Source organism: Homo sapiens, chromosome 2 (assembly GCF_000001405.40).
Source record: "Homo sapiens chromosome 2, GRCh38.p14 Primary Assembly".
Lineage (NCBI taxonomy): Eukaryota > Metazoa > Chordata > Mammalia > Primates > Hominidae > Homo > Homo sapiens.
This window is the reverse complement of record NC_000002.12, coordinates 167,256,375-167,280,471: the sequence shown is the minus strand read 5'-3', so window position 1 is coordinate 167,280,471 and position 24,097 is coordinate 167,256,375. Positions and strand designations below refer to the sequence as shown.

General features: G+C 37.2%; 1 protein-coding gene across 5 annotated transcripts in view, besides 1 other annotated feature; it reads right to left on the bottom strand.

Annotated features, from left to right (window-relative positions):
* Positions 4,684-5,487: an enhancer, noted in NCBI's record as "OCT4-NANOG hESC enhancer chr2:168131495-168132298 (GRCh37/hg19 assembly coordinates)". NCBI's record gives its function as "activates a minimal SCP1, AML or CMV promoter by ChIP-STARR-seq in primed H9 embryonic stem cells {active_cell/tissue: H9 hESC(primed)}" and the evidence as "EXISTENCE:reporter gene assay evidence [ECO:0000049][PMID:30033119]".
* XIRP2 (xin actin binding repeat containing 2) overlaps positions 20,719-24,097 on the bottom strand; it is a 371,274-nt gene continuing 367,895 nt past the window's right edge. For all 5 annotated transcript variants that reach the window (NM_001199143.2, NM_152381.6, NM_001079810.4 and 2 more), the window contains one exon: positions 20,719-22,615. In NM_001199143.2, coding sequence (NP_001186072.1) covers positions 21,109-22,615 — 1,507 coding nt within the window. In that variant the 3' untranslated portion in view covers positions 20,719-21,108. The remainder of the gene's footprint in view (positions 22,616-24,097) is intronic.

Below are 24,097 nucleotides of genomic sequence, written 5' to 3'. Positions count from 1 at the left end.
CAAATCTCATCTTGTAGTTCCCATAATCCCCGTGTGTCATGAGAGGGACCCGGTGGGGTGGTTACCTCCATGCTGTTCTCGTGATAGTGAATGAGTTCTCAGGAGATCTGATAGTTTTATAGGGAATTTTCCCCCTTTTGCTTGGCACTTCTTTCTGCCGTCATGTGAAGAAGGCTGTGTTTGCTTCCCCTTCCACCATGACTGTATGTTTCCTGAGGCCTACCCAGCCATGCTGAACTGTGAGTCAATTAAACCTCTTTTCTTTGCAAATACCCAGTCTTGAGCAGTTCTTTGTAGCAGCGTGAGAATGGACTACTACAATGGTCTTCCTCCATCTGTTGCCAACTAGCCCTCACTGGAACCATTGTCCCTCCGTCCAGCCTAGTAAGTAAATTCTTATCAGGATCCCAGCTTCCTCTGCTGCACAGTAGCAACTTGCCGTTGCCAAGGCCATCCAAGCTTTCACTGGCGCCAGAGCTGCTGGACCTCTCTCCGCCCTGATCTGCCCTGACTGCCCAGCAGCTTTTGGCAGAGAGGATCCTCACTTAATCCTACATATCCTCTTAGCTTGGCTTACAGGACACAGGATTCATTTGATTTTTCTTCTATTTTGCTGTCATCTCTTAAAAATGATGTAGCTCTTGTGTTGGAATGTTAGAATATCCTCCCACTATACTGAAGGATAGATTGTCCAGATTCTCCCATCACATCTTGAAGAGTAAAACGTGTTGTTTGTTTGTTTTTGGTGATTTTGACTTTTTTGTGTGAGTGTAGTTTTTAGAAAAAAAAATCAAAGAAGAATATTTGTCTTATTACTGCATCTATTCCTCACTCTGTTTTCTTTCCATTTGTTTGCTTTCTTTTGAAATAATAATAATTATTGATGGCATCAAAATTGCCACCAATAAATTTTAAAAAGGATATTGAAGGAGCAGATGTCATATTTTGGAATGTTGAAAGGACAGTGTAAACAATAAATCATTCTCAACCTCTCATTGGCTACCTGTCAATGCCTCCTCATTCTTTTATTTCAATGCTTTTTTGGATGAATAAGTCTAGTACAATCAATATTCTTATGCTAGAAATTATAAATTTGCAACACTGTGGACTCTGGTCTTCATATATGTTTTCTCTGGCCGTTTAGTGTCTTGAAACGATTTAAAATACTAACCATTAAAATCTGGGTGGTTCAATATAAAAATTTTAATTTCTGGCTTATCCCTTTTAAAAAAGATGATTATCTGCCAACACTGTGTCCACATTCTACAAAAAACAATATTGCACCTAGTGCTGAGAAAAAGCCATCCCCTTGTGATCAGCTAAGCACACTCAAGTTTGCCACAGGCTTGCCACCCCACTTTGTTCTCTGTTCTGGAAGATGAATATTAGCTACTATTTATGATTGAGCTTGCGTTCTAATATCCAATCTGCTTATCTCATTTAGAGACCCTGCTTGACCCTCTGGGCATTTGTGCTTGCTACCTTGTAATGTGTATTTTCAAACCTGAAGGGGAGAGACAAGCAGTAAACCAAGACTGTAGCGGTTTCTACGTCCTCTGCTTCCTAGACCACTCTGAGCATCTGCCTTAAATACAAGATTTGAAACAAATGGAAACGTGTTCAACTTTTTCACTTTCATTCAACATGAAGAATGTATTTAGGAAAGATATAATGATGGATTAATATCAAAATTACCTTTTCATTTCTTTCTGCTGTCAAACTTCTGGTGAATCCAATCTTTTTTTTTTATGTCTTTTATAATCACAAGGAAATGTTTTATAGTTATAGAAAGAACACTTGATTTGTAGTTAGAACACATGGCTTTGTTTTAGATCTGGTATTCACTAGCCGTGCAACTTTGGGTAAGTCACTAAATTCTTATACACATGTGTGAACATCTATAAAATGGATATATCTTTTCTCTCTTTCACAGGGTTAAGACTCAAGTATGATTATGAGTGTGAAAATCTTAGCATGAACCTCTTCTTATAAAGGATGGGTTTTAAATGTACAAGAGTCTCTCCAATGCTAAATGAATGAATTAATGAAATGTAGATATTTGTCTAATTTTTATTACCTTTTGACTCTCTGTGGTAGACAGAATCATACCCTTCCCAAAGATATATACATTATCATCCCCAGAACCTGTGAATATACAATTAATACTTGCATGGCTGAAGGAACTTTGCAGATGTGATTAAGATAAATATGGTGAAATAGTGTGATTGCTACTTTGCTAGCAAACATAAGCCAAGGATTGCAGGAGGCATCAAGAAGCTGGAAAAGGCAAGGAAACTGATTATCTCCTAGGGGCACCACAAGGATCACAGTCCTGTGGAGATCTGGATTTAAGGAGTTTTTTCTCTCAGAAATGTAAGATTATAAATTTGTGTTGTTTTAAGCCACTAAGTTTGTGGTAAGTTGTTACAGCAGCAATAGGATACTGATACATCCTCATAACTCATTCCGAGTCTAAACATTAAAGATAAAAGGGAAATATGCCACTGGCAATATCTTTTCTTTCTTATTCAGACATTTGATTCTTCCAGTCTTAATCCTCGTCCCACATGCCTCTGGCACATCTACTTGAGCACATTTATTCTTTATCTGATTATCCTACTCCAATTTCCATAAGCACCATCCTATTCTTGGCATTACACCTCCTCTCCAATATTTTACCCAGTTCTTTTTTGTTGTTGATGTTTAAATACTTCCTCAAATTCTCCTGCTTATTTTGTCAGTGTGAAACCAGAGTAGTAATCTCTAAAAGCCTCTTGGGCTGCTCTTACTTTTTTGACTTATGTTACTCATTGAGCAAGTATTTTCCTGCTTCTCTTTTATCTGTTGTTTTGTTTACTAGTTTGTCAGCATCAAATGTTTTCTGTCTTAAATCCAAAGCTCACTGGTACCACATACAAAGTTCAATAATGTATTCTGCAAACCTAACATATTATCATGCTCATGTACAATTCTGTTGCTTTCAATTCATCAGTCCTTATATATTCTGTCTAGAAAACTTCATTCACATCCACTTCCATTTGTATGACTGAATCCCAAGTCCGCACCTCTCGCTTTCTATCCTTGTCTTTCTTTATTCTTGTAAATGAGGATACAGACATGATAAAGACACATTTGCAACCTCAAGATGTTTTACAATTTGTTAGGAAATGTAGAGGATAGGAACCTAAGTCAGTCTAGGGTGGTGAGAAAATATGCTTAAATTGATGTTGAGAGACACATATGAGATATGAGTTAACCTTGTCAAAGGAAAAGACAAAGCTTCTAGGGAGAAAGGACAGAGACAGAGAGAGAGAGAGATTAACACACTATAACATGCAGATACACATACAAAAGAGGAATGTTTGTGGAGAACACTTCAACATACTGTGATTTGTGTGTGTGTGTGTGTGTGTTTGGAAGAGTTAAACAATTGGAAAACAGAGCCAGAGTTCAAGAGTCCGGCCTTGAGAGTTAGTTATATGATAGTAGGATTTCTTTATACAAAGTGAGTATGCATGTGGATGAAATTGCCCAGGTAGAATGTGTAATGACTGAATGAGAGAGGGTTGAAAAGAAACGTCTGGGGAATAGACATTTCAGGGAGGGACAGAGGAGAAGCAACACACGGGAAAGGCAAAGAATGAGCAACTAGAAAATCAGAAGAGAACCAGGAGAGGTGTGTATCATAGAAACTAAGGCAGAAGATGGTTTCATGGTGGTAGTAGTCAATGATGTCAGACATGGCAGAAAATAGAATTGAAATGAACCAGTCCTCCCATTTCTGGGGCTATTTCCGGGTGACCAAATTTAAGAAGAGTCTCCACAGCTTGAGGGATTCCAGCATGCAGGAAGATGCCCAAGATCCTCAAGACAAAAGGGGAGATACTGTTAAGGACGACAGAAAACACAGAAGTTCCAAATGCCAAGAGGAGAATGAGAAAGATCATCAAGTCTGGGCAGGTCAGTAGAGTATATGAAAATTCAATTTAGAGTCATGAGAACAAGGGAAAATACTCATGGGACCTGGAAACAGAGTGTTATTGAAGCAAGCTTAAAGGGCCAGAGACAAATAGATTGAAAAGTGATTGCTAGGTTCAATAATTAGGATGCCACTTGTAAAGGTTGGGCTATTCCAGTTTATAGTTGGTGGAGCTGTGTATGAAAAATGAGGAGGAATCAGTTGCAACAAAAAATATGATTTCAGGCTGCTTCCTTGGGAAGGAGAGGAGACACAGTGTAGCTAAAGGAGGATACTTTATCTAGAGATTATTGTTTTCCTTTAAAATAAAAGTGATGGGAAGAAGAAAGACAAAAGGAATGGGTGGAAGTTCCAGGAGACAAGAAGCGTGATTGATGAACAAGGTCCCTAAAAAGGCAGGAGGATGGAAATCAGAAAAGATGAGGCAAATTTAACCACAACTTAGCTTCTGAGACCCCTGTATTTTACCCAGAATAATGATAAAATGAAGTAAAATTTAAAGGCATAGGAGATCCTTGTCACACTATTTAGAGGGGTTTATGCACAACACATTTATACCTCTAAATATAGTCTAACAAAGTGTTCAAAAGTATAAGCTCATTTTGTATAACAGACCAACAGTGTATTTTTTAAATTAATACTGAAAAAGTCAACTCTTAGAATAATAAGGTGACACCAGAATCTATTAATTATATTCCTGGTTAGTGCATAATAAATCACGTACTTGATAGGGAAAATAAACAAACCTCCAGTTTCTCTTCCACAGCCAGAAACCATTCCTGTTTTCCCTAATCATTCAACATACTATTCATTGTAGGTACTAGTAATTTTATATCTAATAGAATAGAATTAACTTGTTAATTAATATGTTTGAAGTGTATTTCAACAATTAGAATTCAAACAGACTTTAGAAAACATCTGTGTCTGATTAGACATCAAAGCTAGGTATCTCTATAAATAGCATTTTAATATGAAAGAAAAAACATATACCCATTTGTATAGTAACAATATCTATATTCTATTCCATGAATCCAAGCCCTAAAGACCACTTTTCTGTTCTCTTAACAAGAACACAATATGCATCTTTTGATAACACAAAGACATGGATTGAAAGTAAAGAGCACAACTGCCAAAGTATTCCCAAATTTTTGCATCTCTAAAGCTTAAATAGGCACTCAATTTGAATAATTGCCAGGAAGAACATAAGAGAATATGCAAAATACGGAGAAAACGGCAGGGCTAAATTGTTTTAGATGGCCACACACCAAGAGTTGTCCCTGCAGAGGGAGAAGAGGCAGCATAGTAGCAGTGGTGGTAGCAATGGCAGCTATAACGTTAAGTAATCCATGGGTCTGTCACATGCCATTGTCTGGCTCCAAAAATGTGAAATTTCCCATCTTCTGCTCCAGCAAAGAGACAGAGTTCACAGATAATGCAAAGCAGTAGAAAATGCCAATGCTAAACCCATTTGCGTTTGAATTTAGAATGCTTTTTCCCCAGCACATTTATCTGAAAACACTAATTATCGACTTTGCAACTTATCCCTTCCCCCCTTAGAATTTGAGGCTGGAGCCATATTTTTGCCAACCCATTAGTAATTTCTATTCTCATCATTTTTCCGCTTTCCCCATTCTTGTAGGTTTAGCAGGAATTCTCTAGTCTCTGGCAGGGTGTTTTGAAAAACTCCTGAATATAAGGCTGAGAAGAGTAACTAAGTCAGTCATCTCCTCGGGTCTCACACCTGGGATCCTCACTTGTTCCAAAGGAGCAATTCTGTGCTTTGGATCTTTGCTCGCATAACTGCGTAACTGAGTCCTTATTGGAGCCTCTCTCTTGCCGTGTGTATCCTTTTGAGCAGCTCCCAACCCTTCTACAGCTGGGGGCTGCTTTGAACTCCTAGGTCTTCTACAGATTTAGGTTTGATTGAAACTCCCCTGCCTGATCTCCTACTTTCAGTTCTGTAATATAAAACACCTGCCTGCCTGGTTTTGACTTCACTTGTTGCTAACTCCCGAAACTCCTGAAGCTATGTACGGCTGCTCTTCTAGAATATCCTTCTGGTGCATATTGCTCAACCTTGCAGTTGTTATCCCCATGTTTGCTTTCACTCAGATTCATTCATACATATAAAAGTATCTATGAGGGCTTACTAAATGAAAGACTATAAGCCAGACAATTACAAATTTTAAAGAATAATAAGTATTTAGTTAAAAGATACCAAACCTCAGCCGGGCGCGGTGGCTCAAGCCTGTAATCCCAGCACTTTGGGAGGCCGAGGCTGGCGGATCACGAGGTCAGGAGATTGAGACCATCCTGGCTAACACGATGAAACCCCGTCTCTACTAAAAATACACACACACACACACAAAAATTAGCGGGGCATGGTGGCGGGCGCCTGTAGTCCCAGCTACTCTGGAGGCTGAGGCAGGAGAATGGCATGAACCCGGGAGGCAGAGCTTGCAGTGAGCCGATATCCCGCCTCTGCACTCCAGCCTGGGCGACAGAGCAAGACCCCATCTCCAAAAAAAAAAAAAAAAAAGATACCAAACCTCGCCTTCCTTTTGTCTCTTTGTGGCAGAAGTTCTCTTATGTGGATGTTTCTGTTTTCTTCCTGGGCCTGAGATTGACTGCCTTGTCCAGGCTCCCTTACAGGTAGGTGTGGTCTTGTCACTGAGTTCTGGCCAATGAAATGCAGGTAAAAGTGATGCACACTTCTTCCAGGCCTGGCCCACAGAAGCCTCCCACAGGTGAGCCTCATTCATTTTACCCTCTGCCTATCAATTGAGAAGACTCCAGGGCCCAGAGGAGGACAGGATTTCCACTATTTGGAAGGACTGAGTTCCTGAAGGAGTTTATGAAGCAGAGCCTCTTCCTCACCAACCCTTGTTAAATTGGGATATGAGCAATAATTAAAATAGTCTTGTCTTAAGTTATTGAGTTTTCAGGGTTTATCTGTTACAACTGAGGTTACTGAATCTAACCTGTATGTTCTTTACCATCTTTGTTTCTGGGGTTTCAGTCCCAGAATCTGAACCCATCTATTTTCACCTGTTATCACTAATGGAGCCCCCTATTTATGTTGCTACTCAATTTACTTTTCCTCCATCTATTCATTACCACCCTCATTTAAATGAAAACAAAAAACAACCTACTTTTACGCTGGATGATTTTCTCTTTTACCATTTTCCACACATCTTTACTTCCCAGATCCCCCAGATTTGGTTAAGGCATACTAATTTTTAGCTAGTTTCCCAGTGGTCTTATAGCTTACTGTGCTCATCACTTCCTAGATGGGTGACCTTGGTAAAGTAGTTTAACCTCTTCAAGACAAGTTTTTTTTGCATAGAGATAAAAACACCTTATCTCAGAAGTATCTTGTCAAAAGTAAATGAACATCAGTTACCTCAATTACAAAATGATAATACTAAAATAGATCCCACATGTTTTAACATAATTACATATCAAGTGGCTATTGATACATTATTGTTTTCAAAAACATGAACTTTGGCAAAATGTAAGCATTCCATAAATATTTCTTTCCTCCCCCATCTTCCTTATCCCATTGCCCTCTATTAGTAGCTCCATTTGGGCACAAGGATTGAAGAATCTTTTGCATAGTGCTGCTATTTGCTGCCCATGGAAACCTATGACATTCATTCATTCAGTACTTGTCACATGCTAGTGTTAAGGTAGACAGAGGCAAGATGATGTAACTAATGAAACAAGTGGAAAAGCTGGCATGGGAGTAGGTGGTTGCAGGCCCTGAGGGCGGGAGAAAGCTGAAAAGGAGGACTACAGAGGAAACCTTTAGCTGGATCTCGGAAAAAAACTGCAATTGACCGCAGGAGCAGCAGAAATCCACAGTGTGCCAGATATACTTGCTGGCACAAGTGTACTCTTTTCCTTCTGCCTTGGAATAAAAATATCAGTGGAAATTATTCTGTAAATGTGGCCATTATGTTTTACTTCTGCTGATATTGAAGTTCCTTATTCCCTGAGGACACAGGTGAAGGTGGAAGGGAGGCAGTGGTCTGGGTAGGTTGGAGACGCCAGCCTGGAATTGAACATTTTCTGTAGGCAATCTCTCTCTGGGTAATTGAAAATGGGTTCTTTGAAATGCTAGTGATTTAATAATTTTCTTATGAATTAAAAAATAGGCACACACTCTTCTTTTTTTCTTTATAAAGTAACCATTTAAACATCATCCAGTGTTGGAAGTATTTCTAGCTTAAATATTTCAAAACTTTTAAAATTAAAAGGTTTAGTATTTAGGGCAAATAGTTCCTGCCCTGTTTCACATAACCAGGGCTGAAGCTTTGAAGTCCTGGCATTTCCTGTCACAGGGACAACCGCTGCCATGTTTTATAGCTTCATGGAGAGTGAGGTCATCACTAGCAGCAGAGACATTGATGTCTTTCTCTAAGTTATTCAGTCTTCTGTTCTCACATATGCTGATTCTTACCTGACATCTTCTCTTTGCCACGTTCAATTGCTTTTGTTAATTTCATCGATTTGAAAAGAGCAGCTCTACTTTCTGCTTGCCTTTAAGGTTAGGAGGATTGATGTATTTCTTTCATTCCATTCCAGGCAGTTGATGACATTTTCAATAAGTGATCTTATTTTTTTTGTCTCTACTTTTCATTATAAATACATCTTTGGAATGTATAGGCATAGATACCCGGTTATACTCATGGTGCAATATATGTGTGTGTGTGTATACAAAAACACATATGCACATAGATACCCTTTCACACACATGCAAACACACAAAATGCAATGTGTATATATAGCATATATATATGGGTCTTTAGTATAATATATAAATGTATATGCTCATAGGCATGCTACTGCTGCAAACTTATATTTTAATATATGTGAACATTTTGTATATATAATCCATTTTCACACATGATGAAGTATTGAGAAGACAGATGTATGTTGAAAATCCCATATATAATGGAATTTATTGGTCGGCTATGACTAATTTCAGTCTGTGTCTCAGCACTTACAACCTAGGTAAACTTAGTCAAGTAACTCAATCTCTCTAATCCATAGACTCTTCACCAGAAAAAATAAAATCTTATACCATACTCATGCGATATTTGTGAGGACTAAGTGAGATCAAGGCCTATATTGTTTGTCCTTGCTGTGAGCTTGGAACACAGCGAAGCTGAATACATACTACTCATTTATGGACATGTATCCAGACCTGTTTTTCCCCATTTTTAATTGTTGTTAAGGGTATTATCAAACTTATGGGCTTTGTGGGTTTTCTAAATTCATTAAAATTATCAATATGCTACATTTCTAAATATATTGCCTTTACATGTGTCCAAAAACATATAAATTATGACATTTTTCAGCCAAATTATGAATAAGACTTTGATTAAGCATTGGATGTTTCATACAGTTCTAGGACATTCATGTAAATACATTTACATGTATACAAACACACATATATATACATATATCCATAAGTGAAATATATGCATATGTATATAGCACAACTATATGCAATTACAAATGCAAGAGCATACAAATAAAGCCTGTGAATAAAAATTAAATGCATGACAGAAAATTACACTGTTTTCCACAGAGGTTGCTTAATTGGAGGAAAGACTATGGAACTTCAAACAATAGCTGTTTTTCAGGTCTTTGTTGTGTCTCAGTACTTATTATACATTTGATCTCAGACAACTCAATATCTCTGAATCTTGTTTTTCTTGAATATAAACTAGAGATAGTAACATCTCTTCTATGTATAATTTACTGGGTTACCTTGGGTTAAATACTTAAACCATCTAAGCCTCAGTCTCCTCATATTTTGACTGACGTAAAGGTTTACCTACAATGTAGTGTTGTTGTGAAGATTCAGTGACATAAGTCATGTTACCATGTGATATAAACTATAATTATATAAACTTCTATAGCCACTAAAAATACAGTTGTTACCATATAGGCTCTTATATTTTAAAAAATTGAAAGAAGTTCTTATACTTTAAAATTCTATCTATAACACCATTTTATTTATATACAGGTACATCTTTTGAAATGTGATCTCTAAATAAAAACTTACCATCATTGCAACCTTTGACTATCCATCTTAAATGTGCTGTATATACAACTTAATGTGCAGAAAGTCTTAACTTCCAATATGTGGGAAATGTATACTTTAAAGGATATTGTAATGAATATTAATACAAATTTCATAGATGTGTGTATATATGTGTATATAATACATATATGAATTTGTCTATTCTAAATTAATGAATTTATTTGGGGATTAATACAAATTTCATAGATGTGTATATTATATATATATAAATTTGTCTATTCTTAATTAATGAATTTGTTTTGGCAATTTTATGATAATAAACATATTTTTCTGTAAAATCTGCCTATCCTTATTTGTAATAATGAAATCTACACATTCAGCCTTTCTTCTAGAAATCAGCCCAAGGATGCCATTAGCATCTAGATATGCAATCTGGGAGTAGAACTGCAGTTAGTTCTCTTGGAGTTATTGCTTAGACATATCAGCATGGTCTGTGTGCCACTTTGCATATACAGTAATCTAAAAAAAATCCAGAAGATATTCTTACCCATTTCCATATGTTACTCTAAGACAGTGTGTATTGTGTTTCAAGTTTTAGATTTATAGGTTGATTGACTCTTCCAACAAAATTTATCAAATGCCTACCACATGCCAAACTTTTTGCTAATAATTGGGGAAATTTGGAGAGTAAAATTAGACCCAGTCACTGTCTTTGTAAAGCTTCTATTTAGTATGGGAGTTTATTATTCTGTTTTCATGTTGCTGATAAAGACATACCTGAGACTGGGCAATGTACAAAAGAAAGGTATATTGGACTTGCAGTTCCATGTTGCTGGGGAGGCTTCACGATCATGGCAAAAGGTGAAAGGCACATCTCACATGGTGGCAGACAAGAGAAGAGTGCATGGTCAGGGAAACTCCCCTTTTAAAAACCATCGGATCTCCTGAGACTTATTCACGATCATGAGAACAGCACATGAAAGACCCAACCACATGATTCAGTCATCTCCCAGCAGGTCTCATCCACAAGAAATGAGAATTATGGGAGCTGCAAGATGAGATTTCAGTGAAGACACAGAGCCAAACAGTATCATTCCACTCCCCACCCCTCCCAAATCTCATGTCTTCACATTTCAAAACCTTCCCAACAGTCCCCCAAAGTCTTAACTCATTTCAGCATTAACTCAAAAGTCCACATTCCAATGTCTCATCTGAGACAAGGCAAATCCCTTCCACCTATGATCCTGTAAATTCAAAAGCAAGTCAGTTACTTCCTAGATAACAAAGGGGGAACAGGAATTGGGTAAATACAGCCATTCTAAATGGGAGAAATCGGCCAAAACAAAGGGGCTGCAAGCCCCATGCAAGTCCGAGATCCAGCAGAGCAGTCAAATCATAAAGCTCCAGAATGATCTCCTTTGACTCCATGTCTTGCATCCGGGTCACACTGATGCAAGAGGTGGGTTCCCTTGGTCTTGGACAGCTCTACCCTTGTGGCTCAGCAGAGAACAGCCTCCCTCCTGGCTGTATTCATGGGCTGATATAGAGTGTCTGTGGCTTTTCCAGGAACACAGTGCAAGCTGTCAGTAGATCTACCCTTCTACAGTCTGGAGGATGGTGGCCCTTTTCTCACAGCTCCACTAGGTGGTGCTCCAGTAGGGACTCTGTGAGGGGGCTCCCACCTCACATTTCCCTTCTACATTGCTCTAGCAGAGGTTCTCCATGAGACCCCTGCCCCTTCAACAAACTTCTGCCTGGACATCCAGGCATTTCCATACATCCTCTGAAATCTAGGTGGAGGTTCCCAAACCCAAATTCATGACTTCTGTGCACTCTCAGGCTCAACACCACGTGGAAGCTGCCAAGGCTTGGGGCTTGCACCCTCTGGAGACACAGCCTGAGCTGTACTTTGGCCCCTTCCAGTCAGGGCTGGAGCAGCTGGGATGCAGGACACCAAGTCCCTTGGCTGCATTCAGCAGGGGGATGCTGGCCCCTGCCCATGAAACCATTTTTTCCTCCTAGGCCTCTGGGCCTGTGATAGGAGGGGCTGCTTGAAAGGCCTCTGACATACCTGGAGACATTATCTCCATTGTCTTGGGGATTAACATTTGGCTCCTCATTACTTATGCAAATTTCTGCAGCCGGCTTGAATTTCTCCTCAGAAAATGGGGTTTTCTTTTCTATCACATTGTCAGGCTGCAAATTTTCTGAACTTTTATGCTCTGCTTCCCTTTTAAACATAAGTTTCAATTCTAAACCATATCTTGGTAAATGAATAAAACTGAAGGCTTTTAAGAGCACCCAAGTCAAATCTCAAACACTTTGCTGCTTAGAAATTTCTTCCACCAGATACCCTAAATCATCTCTCTCAAAATTCAAGGTTCCACAAATCTCTAGGGCAGGGGTAAAATGCCGTCAGTCTCTTTGCCAAAAAGGTGACTCATAGCAAGAGTCACCTTTGCTGTAGTTCCCAACAAGTTCCTCATCTCCATCTGAGACCACCTCAGCCTGGATTTCATTGCCCATATCATTATCAGCATTTTGGTCAAAGTCATTCGATAAGTCTCTAGGAAGTTGCAAACTTTCCCACATTTTCCTGTCTTCTTCTGAGCCCTCCAAACTGTTCCAACCTCTGCCTGGTACCCAGTTCCAAAGTTGCTTCCACCTTTTCGGGTATCTTTTCTGCAGTGCCCCACTCTACTGGTACCAATTTACTGTATTAGTCCATTTTCACCCTGCCGATAAAGACATACACGAGACTGGACAATTTACAAAATAAAGAGGTTTATTGGACTTACAGTTCCACGTGGCTGGGGAGGCCTCACAATCATGGCAAGAGGTGAAAGGCACCTCTCACATGGATGGCAGACAAGAGAAGAGTGCTTGTGCAGGGAAACTCCCCTTTTTAAAACCATCAGATCTCGTGAGACTTATTCACTGTCATGAGAACAGCACAGGAAAGACCCGACCCCATGATTCAATTTTCTCCCACTGCATCCCTCCCACAACCCGTGGGAATTATGGGAGCTACAAGATGAGATTTTGGTGGGGACACAGAGCCAAACCGTATCGGGGGTAAGGGGATGTCACTGGTATTAATCAAATAATTTGCAAGACCATGTGTAATTACAAATGTACTATGTGCTAGGAAGGAAAAGTGAGAGTCAGAGATGTTTAGTAAAAATCAACTGGGTTTGGTACAAGATTTAAGTTGTAAATAAATGAAAGAAATTAGGGTATAAAATATGACTTTTGGTTTTCTGGTTTTAGCAACTAGATTGTCTAAGAAAATGCTCACAGAGACCCAAATTTGAGGTTAGAGGTGGGTGACACTCTGATCAGGACTTGTTGGACTTAAGGTTCGTTTGAAATAGCCATAAGAAACTATCAAGTAGGCAGTTGTCTATATGATTCTAGAGTTCAGAACAGAGCTCCCAGAAGGTAATATACATGTAGGAGCTACTGGTATTAAAGAGATAATTGAAGCCTTGGATGTGAATAAAATTGCTAGGAATAGTATAGTTGATAACAGAGGTTAGTAAAATGTTTTGAACAACTATAGTGTGGTTATAGGAAATTATGTTAACGGATGTACATTTGCTTATAAGCACAATGACTACATTAACAACAACAAATCAATGCAGGTATTAACATAGTTGAGAGGAGTAAACTGAATAATCTGAACGGCAACTGGTAACATAAACATTACTCACTTGATGATATATATTTATCCAACTAAGGTTTTTAATTTATAACAAATGTGTATTCAGAATTGGTGATTTTGATAGCATGAAGATTGAACATGTTGGCTTGCTAAAAACAGGCTGGACAGCATTGAAAATTGTTAATATCGATGGTTTTATAATTTGGACATTATTGAACACATACATGCTCACATTCACACATACAAACACACACACACACAATATTAAATTCAGGGATTAAGATTGAAAAGAAATCAGCTAATGAGCTAGGGAATGGCATTTACTAATTTTTTTCATTATTTGTTCTTAGATATTTCTAGTGTTAATTATGTTTTATATATCATCTCAATTAAAAGCCATTGAAGCTTTTATTGAGCAATAAATATTTTAGGTTAGATAGAGTTCAGAAAATAATGAATTATTTTGGAATTGTCTTTTAGGTTAATTTTTGTTTAAGGAAACTTCTATATGGACAAATAACAACGTAGAAAGGTGTTTTCACCAGAAGTATTCTTTAACCAGTCTGCCCTCCTCCTGAAGGAAATGATTTAACAGGGGTTATTGGACTACCTTGAAGACTAGTAAATAAAAATCTGTCACCATTTTACAAAACATGCAGCAAAAAAGATGGTGAATACAGTAGTGGTCATTACCAATTATTGCGTCTTTGAGCCTTTTAAGTTTTCATTTATTAGAAGTGATATTAAGTTGATATGATAATGTGAGGGAAGTGTCCAAGTATAGCCCAACAGCTCTACTGTGTTTCCAAAGAGTCTTAGGTACAGGATGTGCTGGCTAACTCGTGCTTTTAATTGCATGCAAACAGCTCAGCCAGTACATCCCCGTTCCCTCTATATCTGACACATGAAAACCTTTCTCAGAACTGCTTAGTTATGTGTTTATCTGTGTCCCTTCAGCACATTCCTCCTCTTCCCCCAAATCCTGTATTTCGGACACTGCAGGAAAAGGGTTTGGATCCATCTACTGCAGCAAGAAGTGGGGTGCACGCAGCCAAAGGGCCACTGTCATCTTCAAAATGGACCTACTAGCCTTAACATTGCAAGGGCCTGAATCTTGTGTACTCTCTCTGTCTTGCTGTAAGTAAATACTCTAGCACCTGAACTTGGTGTGCATGTTATCTGTTTTCAGCAACTTTGAATCATTTACTGGTCTCTTCCTAGGTGGGATTTATCTGCCTTTTAACATGGGCCGCACCTATGTGAAATTCTATCCTACAGCACAACCCAGCCACATCGTGAAACAGACAAAAAGTTAACTGTATATTGAACTAGTATTGTAATAAAACACATTGATTTTAAATAATTATGATGTATACTGCCCTGATGGCCTCAATTCTTTACGACTCCCTGCATTCACACACATTGGCAGTGCTGTCTCACTTTGTTTCTTCGAGTATAAGGCTTGCTTTGGCTATTAGAATGAGACAGCAGTAAACTGTGTGCCAGTTCTGAGCCTAGTGTGTCACTGCTCTTCTCCTTTACTTCTTCCATTGCCATGAAAAGAGCATGCTCAGAGTAACTTGCAGGTCACAGGAGGATGATGAAATTACCTAGGGTAGAGCTGTCCCAGGTAATGTGCCCCAACCAAGCAGAGCCTAGAACACAGTTCCCAGCAGATGTGCTGATGCTTGTGTGAGGCCCACAAAGACCAGCAGAACTACCCAGTTGATTTGGGGGGGATGCATCTTTAGCATCTTTAAGTAAAAGTGTAGGTGATAATGCTGCAGTACAACAACAACAACAACGATAATAATAATAAAGAGAGGAATAGGCCACTTCTGTAGGTTCAGAGGAATCTGCTATTTTAATATTTTTGGTTGTATCAACCAACATACAACCATCCATGTTCAAAATCCCATTTTTTCCCAAAAAAGTCCCTGACTGTGTTAGGGAGTTTAACTTTCCATGGAGCTCAGCCACTCTTACTTTTAATTGTTGATTTAATTATTCATCTTTTTGTTAACTTTTTTCTCAGCATTTAGCAACGACTTCCGAGTTCCACTTTCTTCGTAATCGCTATTTTCCCTGCATGTCTCAGATATTTGATACATGGTACCAGCTAGGCATTTGCTTCACCCAGTAAAGTCATGCTAGTGTACCACTGCTGAGAATTTTAACAATCGCACTGCCACCTTGTGCCCATTGCCAGCCAGGCAGAAAAGAATTCAGCTCCAAGATACCATTCAAGTCTTTGCTTTTTGGGCCACTCCTAATACCAGTTAGTCCAGGTTGGGTTCTCCAAGAAGTAGATTCTGAGCCAGAGATTAATGTGTAGGAGGTTTATTAGAGCATGCTCTTGGTATCAAGGGAAAGAAAGGGAAGGGAAAGAAGCATGATTTGGCAGAAGCTGACCTGAGATGCACCCTCAGCCAATTCTATAGGGAGTTCTGAGCTGGAGTGACAGTGAGCCTTAAGAGTTGTGCTGAGTTGTCCTTCCATTGACAAAAAACGAAAATAGTCCACCTTGGAAAGTCAGTTATTTTAGCTAAAGCAATCCTGGCAGGGAGCTGATAATTAATACCCTTCTGGGGCCAGCGCTTTGATCATATGTGGCAGTAAATCATTCCTGAAGAGGAATCTTGATTGTGTATCATAGAATCCACAATCACATAATTACAACTAAGTAAATTATGACAAAGTGAAGACTGATTATTTAAACCCAAAACACTTTTCCACCTGTTTACTATTATTCTGCTGTCTTCCAATTTAACAGGACTCGGTGGCTATCCATTTTCTTGGATTTCCTACATTCATAAGCATTAACTGTACTGAGTTATTTCACTTTATGTTTTGAATGTCTCTTCCTTGTCTGAGAGCTTTACACAAAAGATACCATAATTTATCTATTGTTTTCTTAATCACTCTTCCAGTGCATTCAAATGGTCCCATAAATGCTTGTGGAATGGCTGTTGACTGGGTGATGCCATAGTATTTATTTGTCAGCCTTTCTATCCATTTTCCATCCATTTTATTTTCTATAAATCGGTACTACGTCGAGGAAAATGACCACACTGTAGATATTCTACGTTATCTTCCCTCTGCCACTTCATTTGCATACAAATATATAAAGTTTTAAAATTTCTCATAATATCTTTTGGGAAAAACATCCACAGTAAATGTCAGGTAGCTTAAATTAGACTTTTAAAGGACTCCATCATTATTGAGGTTAAATCATTTTTAGACAATATTTACCAAAAAATGTTTCATGTCTTCTATTAAAGTTGATTTCTAGAGGGTTGAGGCTTAGTACTCTTCAGCACTTCTCACATGTTCTCATGGCTCTTATTTTGAATATAAATATTGTATCTGCTGCCTATTTCTGATCTCCATTACATTTGATTTTTTTACCGTAAGATTTCGTATTATCATTAATACCTTCAGAATTCAAAACTTTTACATTAGATTTAGAAGTCACTCTCAGTTCTCAGTAACATTTCCAGGAAGAAAAAAATGTATTGCACTTCTCTTTTACTTTAACATCTGTGATTATCTTTCTGTAAGTTCTTTTTCTTGGCAATGAAAAAATTTTCCATTTCCCAATTGGATAGTAACCAGTAGTCAGTAACTATCAAAACACAGCAGAGAAAGTATTGTTTTTCTATTTTTCAGTTTCTTGAAAAATTAATATGTCTTTAGAAATTATTCTAGAGATGTTTATAGAAAATTGTTAGCTTGGGAGAAAATATTCCCGATGCGTAAAATGGTTGTGCATTAGGGAGTGGGTGGTAAGTTTGCATTTGTCAGTTTTATTGTAATTTGAGAAAACCATTGTCCCAATCCAAAGAATGTGTTGCTGTGAGAAAACTATTGTCCCAATCCAAAGAATGTGTTGCCCAGAGCCCCAAATCTGTTGCAAGGATTGATTGTGTGGAAGCTGCAAAAAAGACAATTCAGCACAATTTTATGGGAAATAGAACATTTTTACAAGATTCATTGGAAGGTCTAGTCTTGAATAAATAATGCAAAACCCCTTATATGCTATGCTCTGCCATCACACAGCCTCCTGTGGAACAGCTTTTGGTCAATCATGGATCCATCTTCATTCCTTTATAACATAATTTTGTTTATGGAAATATTAATTTTTACAACACAAATCATATATTACATAGTTCTGTGACGTAAATCCCAAGAAAAGATTATGGGAAGTTGTTACATAACATTAATAGCCATGTATTTTTTAAAAAACCCTAAAGATTAAACATGGTTACTACCAGTTATGGGCTGAATTGTGTTCCCCGCAAATTCATATGGTGAAATCCTAAGCCACAGCATCTCAGAATTCAGCTCTTTAAGGAGATAGGGTCTTTCAAGAAGTAATTAAAGTAAAATGAGGTCATGAGGCTGGGCCCTACTCCAATATGAGTTGGAACATTATAAGAAATTGGAACATAGACACATATAGAGGAAGGCCATGGAAGACACAGAAAGAAGATGACTATCTACAAGCCAAGTAGAGAGGCCTCAGAAGAAACCAAGCTGGCCAACACCTTGATATCAGATTTTTCCGACTTGCAGAATTGTGAGAAAATAAATTTCTGTTTGGTCACTCAGTCTGTGGTACTTACTTATGACAGCTTTAGAAAAATAATACACTGACTGCAACAATAAGAAAACTTCACTGAATTTTTGATTTGTGTGTTTAGCTACATTTTAGATCCTAAAGCTTGCTATTTAGCTGGAAGATTTTGTTATAATTAGAGCGAAACCATTACTAAATAAAATTGTATTTGCATATTTGAATTTGTAAACTCCTACATGTCATTCAAGAAAGGTGATGCAGCCAATAATCATAATACAATGCCTCTTTCTGATTAAAAATTTTTTAAAAATGTTTTCTTGAAAGAAAATATGTTACATATACACAATGGAGTACTATTTAGCCATATAAAAGCATGATATCCAGTCATTTGCAACAACATGGATGGAACTGGAGGTCATTATGTTAAGTAAAATAAGCCAGGCACAGAAAGAAAAACATCACATGTTCTCACTTATTTGTGGGATCTAAAAATCAAACAATTGAACTCATTGACATAGAGAGTAGAAGATAGTTACCAGAGGCTGGGAAGGGTAGTAGCAGGAAGGGGGGATGGTTAATGGGTATGAAAAATTAGAAAAAATGAATAAGACCTACTATTTGATAGTACAACAGGGTGACTATAGTCAATAATAACTTAACTGTACATTTTAAAATAATTTAAGGAGTATAATTGGATTATTTGAAACTCAATGGATAAATACTTGAGGGGATGGATACGCCATTTTTTGTGATGTATTTATTTCGCATTGCATGCCTGTATCAAAACATTTCATGTACTGCATACATATATACATACCTACTATGTACCTAAAAATTTTTTTTAAAAAAAGATGAGGGCACAAAATTGCTTGTTGATTAAATGAAAAATCAGAACAATCATTATTTTCATTGTTCTCCCTGGTGTGCACAGCAGCTACTTTTAATCTTAAATTTTACCATAATTGAAGAGGGGACTAGGCTACCAAGATTCAGTAGGAAGAGTCCAACAAGAGGACCTTTGTAAAGCAAGAGTCACATTCTTTAAAAGGATCACTGACACTAAGAAACTATACAGTAATACTATGTCATGAGTTTTCACGAATTATTTCTTTCTGCATGAAAACTATTGTGTTATCTTACTATAAATGATTATAGAAATAATGCTGTGTCATTCAGAATATTTGAAGGGTAAAGTGCAGTAATTCAGTTTAAACAAAAAATTTACTTCTGTAGCTCTGGCCATTTTCTTGCTAGACTTTCATAGTATTTCATTTAATCGGGTAAAAGTATGTGTTTGTTATGAACTGAACTGTGTTCCCACAAAGCTCATATGTTGAAGCCCTAAACCCCAATATGACTATATTTGGAAATACATCCATTAAAAAGGCAAGTAAGGTTAAATGAAGTCCAATGAGTGGTTCCTAGTCCAAAAGGACTGGTACTCTTATAAGAAGAGAAAGAGACACTAGGAGTGTGAGTGCTCAGAGGGAAGACTATGTGTGGACCTCAACAAGGTGACTATTGGCAAGCCAAGGAGAGAGGCCTCAGGAGAAACCAAGCCTATCTTCAACTTGACCCTGTACTTCCACCTTTCTGAACTGTGAGAAAATATATTTTTTGTTGTTTAAGCTACCCAGTCTGTGATATTTAATTATGTAAGCCCTAGGGAACTAATGCAATGTAGGTCTTAGATATCTATTAAGAACATACTAGCAAGAGGGAATTTGTTAGTCTTTCTGAAAAGAAATAGTTTCCAAGATTGCATTTTGGTTTTATATTTATAGAATGTCAATAGTTTGTGTTTACGTAGGAGAATATGGGATAAGTCCTGTTTCATATATGTACACTACAAATTTATGCAAAGCCACTTATTTATGTTCATTTTTTTTCAGAATCATAAAATTTATTTGAGGAAGAACAAAGGCAGTAGAAAATTTAGAAGCCAAATTTTAGAGGAATATGTTTTCATAACAGAAAAACTTAATATTCATCAAATATGATAAGAAGAAAACCTGACAAACTGTAGTGATATGATTGTTATACTTATCCATTACACAGAGCAAGCAATACAAATGCAATGTGAATAATTTATTTAAGTAATGTCTAAAACCTTTCTAGTTAATTTCTGAGTATGGACTTCACATTATTCTGGAGGAAAATCAACATTTTTCGTCAAATGTTTATAGACACATTCTATGATAATTTAATATAGGTAATTATTTCAAGAACAATAACCCTCGTATCTTTAAAATGTAGAGTAAAAGAGAAAATGAAAATGTTACACTTTCTAATAATACTGTGCCTTCAGTTTAGTATTTTATTTTTTCCAGCATTATTTTAGTGTGGGTGGTAAATACTTGCCTCAAGACAAATACTTCCCAAGTCACAAGGAGTATATGTACTTAGAATGACAGTATATATCAAAAAAAGTTACAGAAGTATTTTGGTTTGCACCTCAGGTGATTCAATTTTATTTCAGAGGAAATTACAGAGAAGTTATAATAATTGTGACAAGCAGCAGCAGTATAAAAATCACACCCATGATGTTTTACAGGAAAACAGAACAATATGCTAAAGTGCCATTTGAATGGAAAACATATCCATAGTGTTTCATCTCTTCATTCCAGTTCAAACAAAAGTAGATGTAAATAAATTGTGAAAAAAATGACAAGGTGTAATACAAGAAATATCCCATTGAGATAGACACGAGATTTCTGAACACCATGTTTACATCAAGTTCCTCAAAAGGGTATCCAAATTCATAAAATCTTATTTCAGAACATCAATATCTCTCAGTGCCTAAGTGTGGACTGTCAGTGGCCATAGATATTTTACTCAGTGTCACTGTAGCACCTGTTTCTTTTAATCTGCTCTTCCACCGTGAGTTGTTCTGACTGCACCTCCACTCTGGGAAACAAAGGCTTAGCTGTACATTCATGGCTCAGAGCATCAAAACCTGTGTTTTCATTATTGCGGGCAGCTTCTGTTGTTTCAACATGCCAAGGTTTAACATCCTTTCCAAATTCCCTTAAATCCAAGCATGGCATATTTTTAATTTGATCTACAGAATCTATTAAATCACAATTGAAAATGTTCTCATTTTTCTTGGAAAATGCAGTGATTTTCACGGTGTTAGAAAAGAAAAAGTGTAAATTTTTGCTCTTTGAATGGCTTCCTTTAATGTTTAAGAGATTTGTATCAGGAGAGATGATTGAACTTCCCCCCTTTACCATAAGGCCTCTGCTGAGGCTTGGTTTTGGAGCAGGCTGCACAGGACTGCCAGCAGCTGCTCTGTCAGTCTGTTTCTTCAGAGCCATTGCTAGTACATTCCTCGAATAAGTCTTTTCAGATTCAAATATACCAAGTAACTCTGAGATTCTAGATGTATTTTCTAACTTCTCAATTTCATATTCATTTGCAGTGTCATTTGCTTCACTCGACAAGGGTAATAGATCAAGAAATTCTAAAATAGATGTCTTCTGCCTGCAATTATTCAGATATGAGACTGCTACATAATTGTTATTATTATTCTTATTCAAATTTTCTTTATGATTTTCTGGCATCATCTCATCATCAGTGTTAGTAACCTGTAAAACTTCTGCACCATTAGTTTGGTTAGTTTTTTCATTTTTCTCCTTTTCAGCACTCTGCACAATCACATTATTGTTGTCATTAAGATCCATAGCACTTTTCCTGTTACTCTTTGTGTCTTCAGCTTCACTCGGCCTATCTTGCACATTCTTCCTTCCTTCCTTCTTTTCATCTTTTCTTCCTTCAGGCATTTTCATTTCTTTGATTCCTATAACATCCTCTTTCTGACAAACATGGGTGGACTGTAGATAAGGCTGCAAAAATGGAAAGTGATCTTGTCTTTGTCCTTTATTTTCTGGAGTTCTAACATCTTCTAGCAGAGATTCACTTTTAAATTCAGGGGATAGCAGGGTTGTCATTTCAGGTGGCCACTTAGGTTTACTCATTTTGAGCTCTTCCTCAAAGGGTAAGGTTTTCTTAGGGATCTCCTTGGAAGGAGGCCAAATGACTTTTAATTTTCCCCTTTCCCCTAATTTTCTCAAATCATTCCTTTGCCCTTCACTGTTACCAGCATCTAAATGTTCATTACGATCTCCAGGTACAAGGGTGTTTTCTGCAATATTTTTACACATATTTGGTTCTTCATTAGGAATAAAGTCCACTGATCTGCTTTGGTTTTTGCAGTTCCATCTATCTTTATGCTGCTTATGTCCAAAACCTTCATCATAATTTCCTTTGGATTTGAAAAGTTGTTTAAAGTGAGGTTTACAGTATATTTGTCCATGAAGTGATGCATAATTTCCCAAACTGCCAAAAAGAAAAAGAACACTTAGCAGTTCGTATTTACTGTAAGTTCATAGGGAATTGGGGATTAATTATTTCAATGAGTTACAGACTAGTAAACTTAAGTTACTAGCAATGGGAATGGCCCTATTAGTTGAACATTTCTGTTAGATAATATTACCACCAATACTTTATATGATGTATGTCTTGCAGTGTTTAGAATTTTATGATGTGTGTCAGGTATTGGCATAATAGGTATTATAGGGTAATGCACATATGGTTATACATGGTGCAGAGTGATAGGACTGAACTTGTGCTAATTCAATGATTTATGTGAGGCGTTGTAATTTCCAATAAATCCTGAGTAGCAAACACATACAAATCAACAATATGAGCTTCTTTGTTAACTGGATTTTGAACGAGCTGGAAGGTGTGCCTAACAATTGCTTATGTGGCCTCTTTAAGGAGATTAACAAATTGAGTGATTTAAAATTAAAATGAACTCTAGTCAGAGGCAGGAGCATAGTTTTCGAAATATCTATGAATCTACACATAAAAACAGATACATCAACAAGATAGCAAAACTTAAAACCCATGGGGAACATTTACAACTAAATGAAGTGACAAGATAGCCCCCTCAACATCAAAATACAAAGAACTAAGGAGAAACCACCAACAGTCACAAGGCCAGCATGATGGTCTCATCTGTATTGGTGATAGCAGAGGGAGCAAGGAAGATGTCTGATGGACCTGAAAATATGAGACCACAAAATAACCAACTAATATTTCCTGGAAAGTATCACATGCCAATCAGAGAACAGCAGCTGAAACTTTGAGGAGATTTGTGATCTCCAATAGACAATGAGTGCAAGGTCCCTGTGGTAAGGAAGACTTGAAGAGGCTAGTGAGGTTGAACTCCTAAAACTGGGCTCCCCTTTTAAACAGAATCCCAAAGTGAGAAAAAATAGGAGAGTAGAATCAAGATTGAGCAGGATAATGATTACAGAAATGAAAGAGAAGGTTCTGAAAAATATGGAGAAGAGGAGCCAAGCCAGGGAATTCTGGAAATCAAGCTGCCTTATTTTCTTGATCAGCATATGAAAACTAAAAGAGGTAGCTCTGTGAAGTTAGAAAAACCATCCTGATTTTTATCCTTCTAAGGTTTGGGAAAACTAATTTTACATAAAAATGAGAAACAGAAATGTACCAAGGTAAATAATATATGAAGTTATTAAAAGAAAATAAAAGTGCAAAGGGCATTATAATATCCCTGTAGATAATGAAAACATGCCAGAAAAACATGCCCTAAAAATATATCAAAAATTTAACCTATGACTTCAAAATGAATTAAAAGACATTAAGAACATGATAAAAGACCTGAAAGAACATCATGAATCAGAATTTAAAATCTCATAAGTGAGGTGCCAGAAATCAGAAAAAATAGAAATAAAAGATAAAAATATCAGCAACAAAACTAAACTAAAAGAAATACAAGAGCAAATAAAC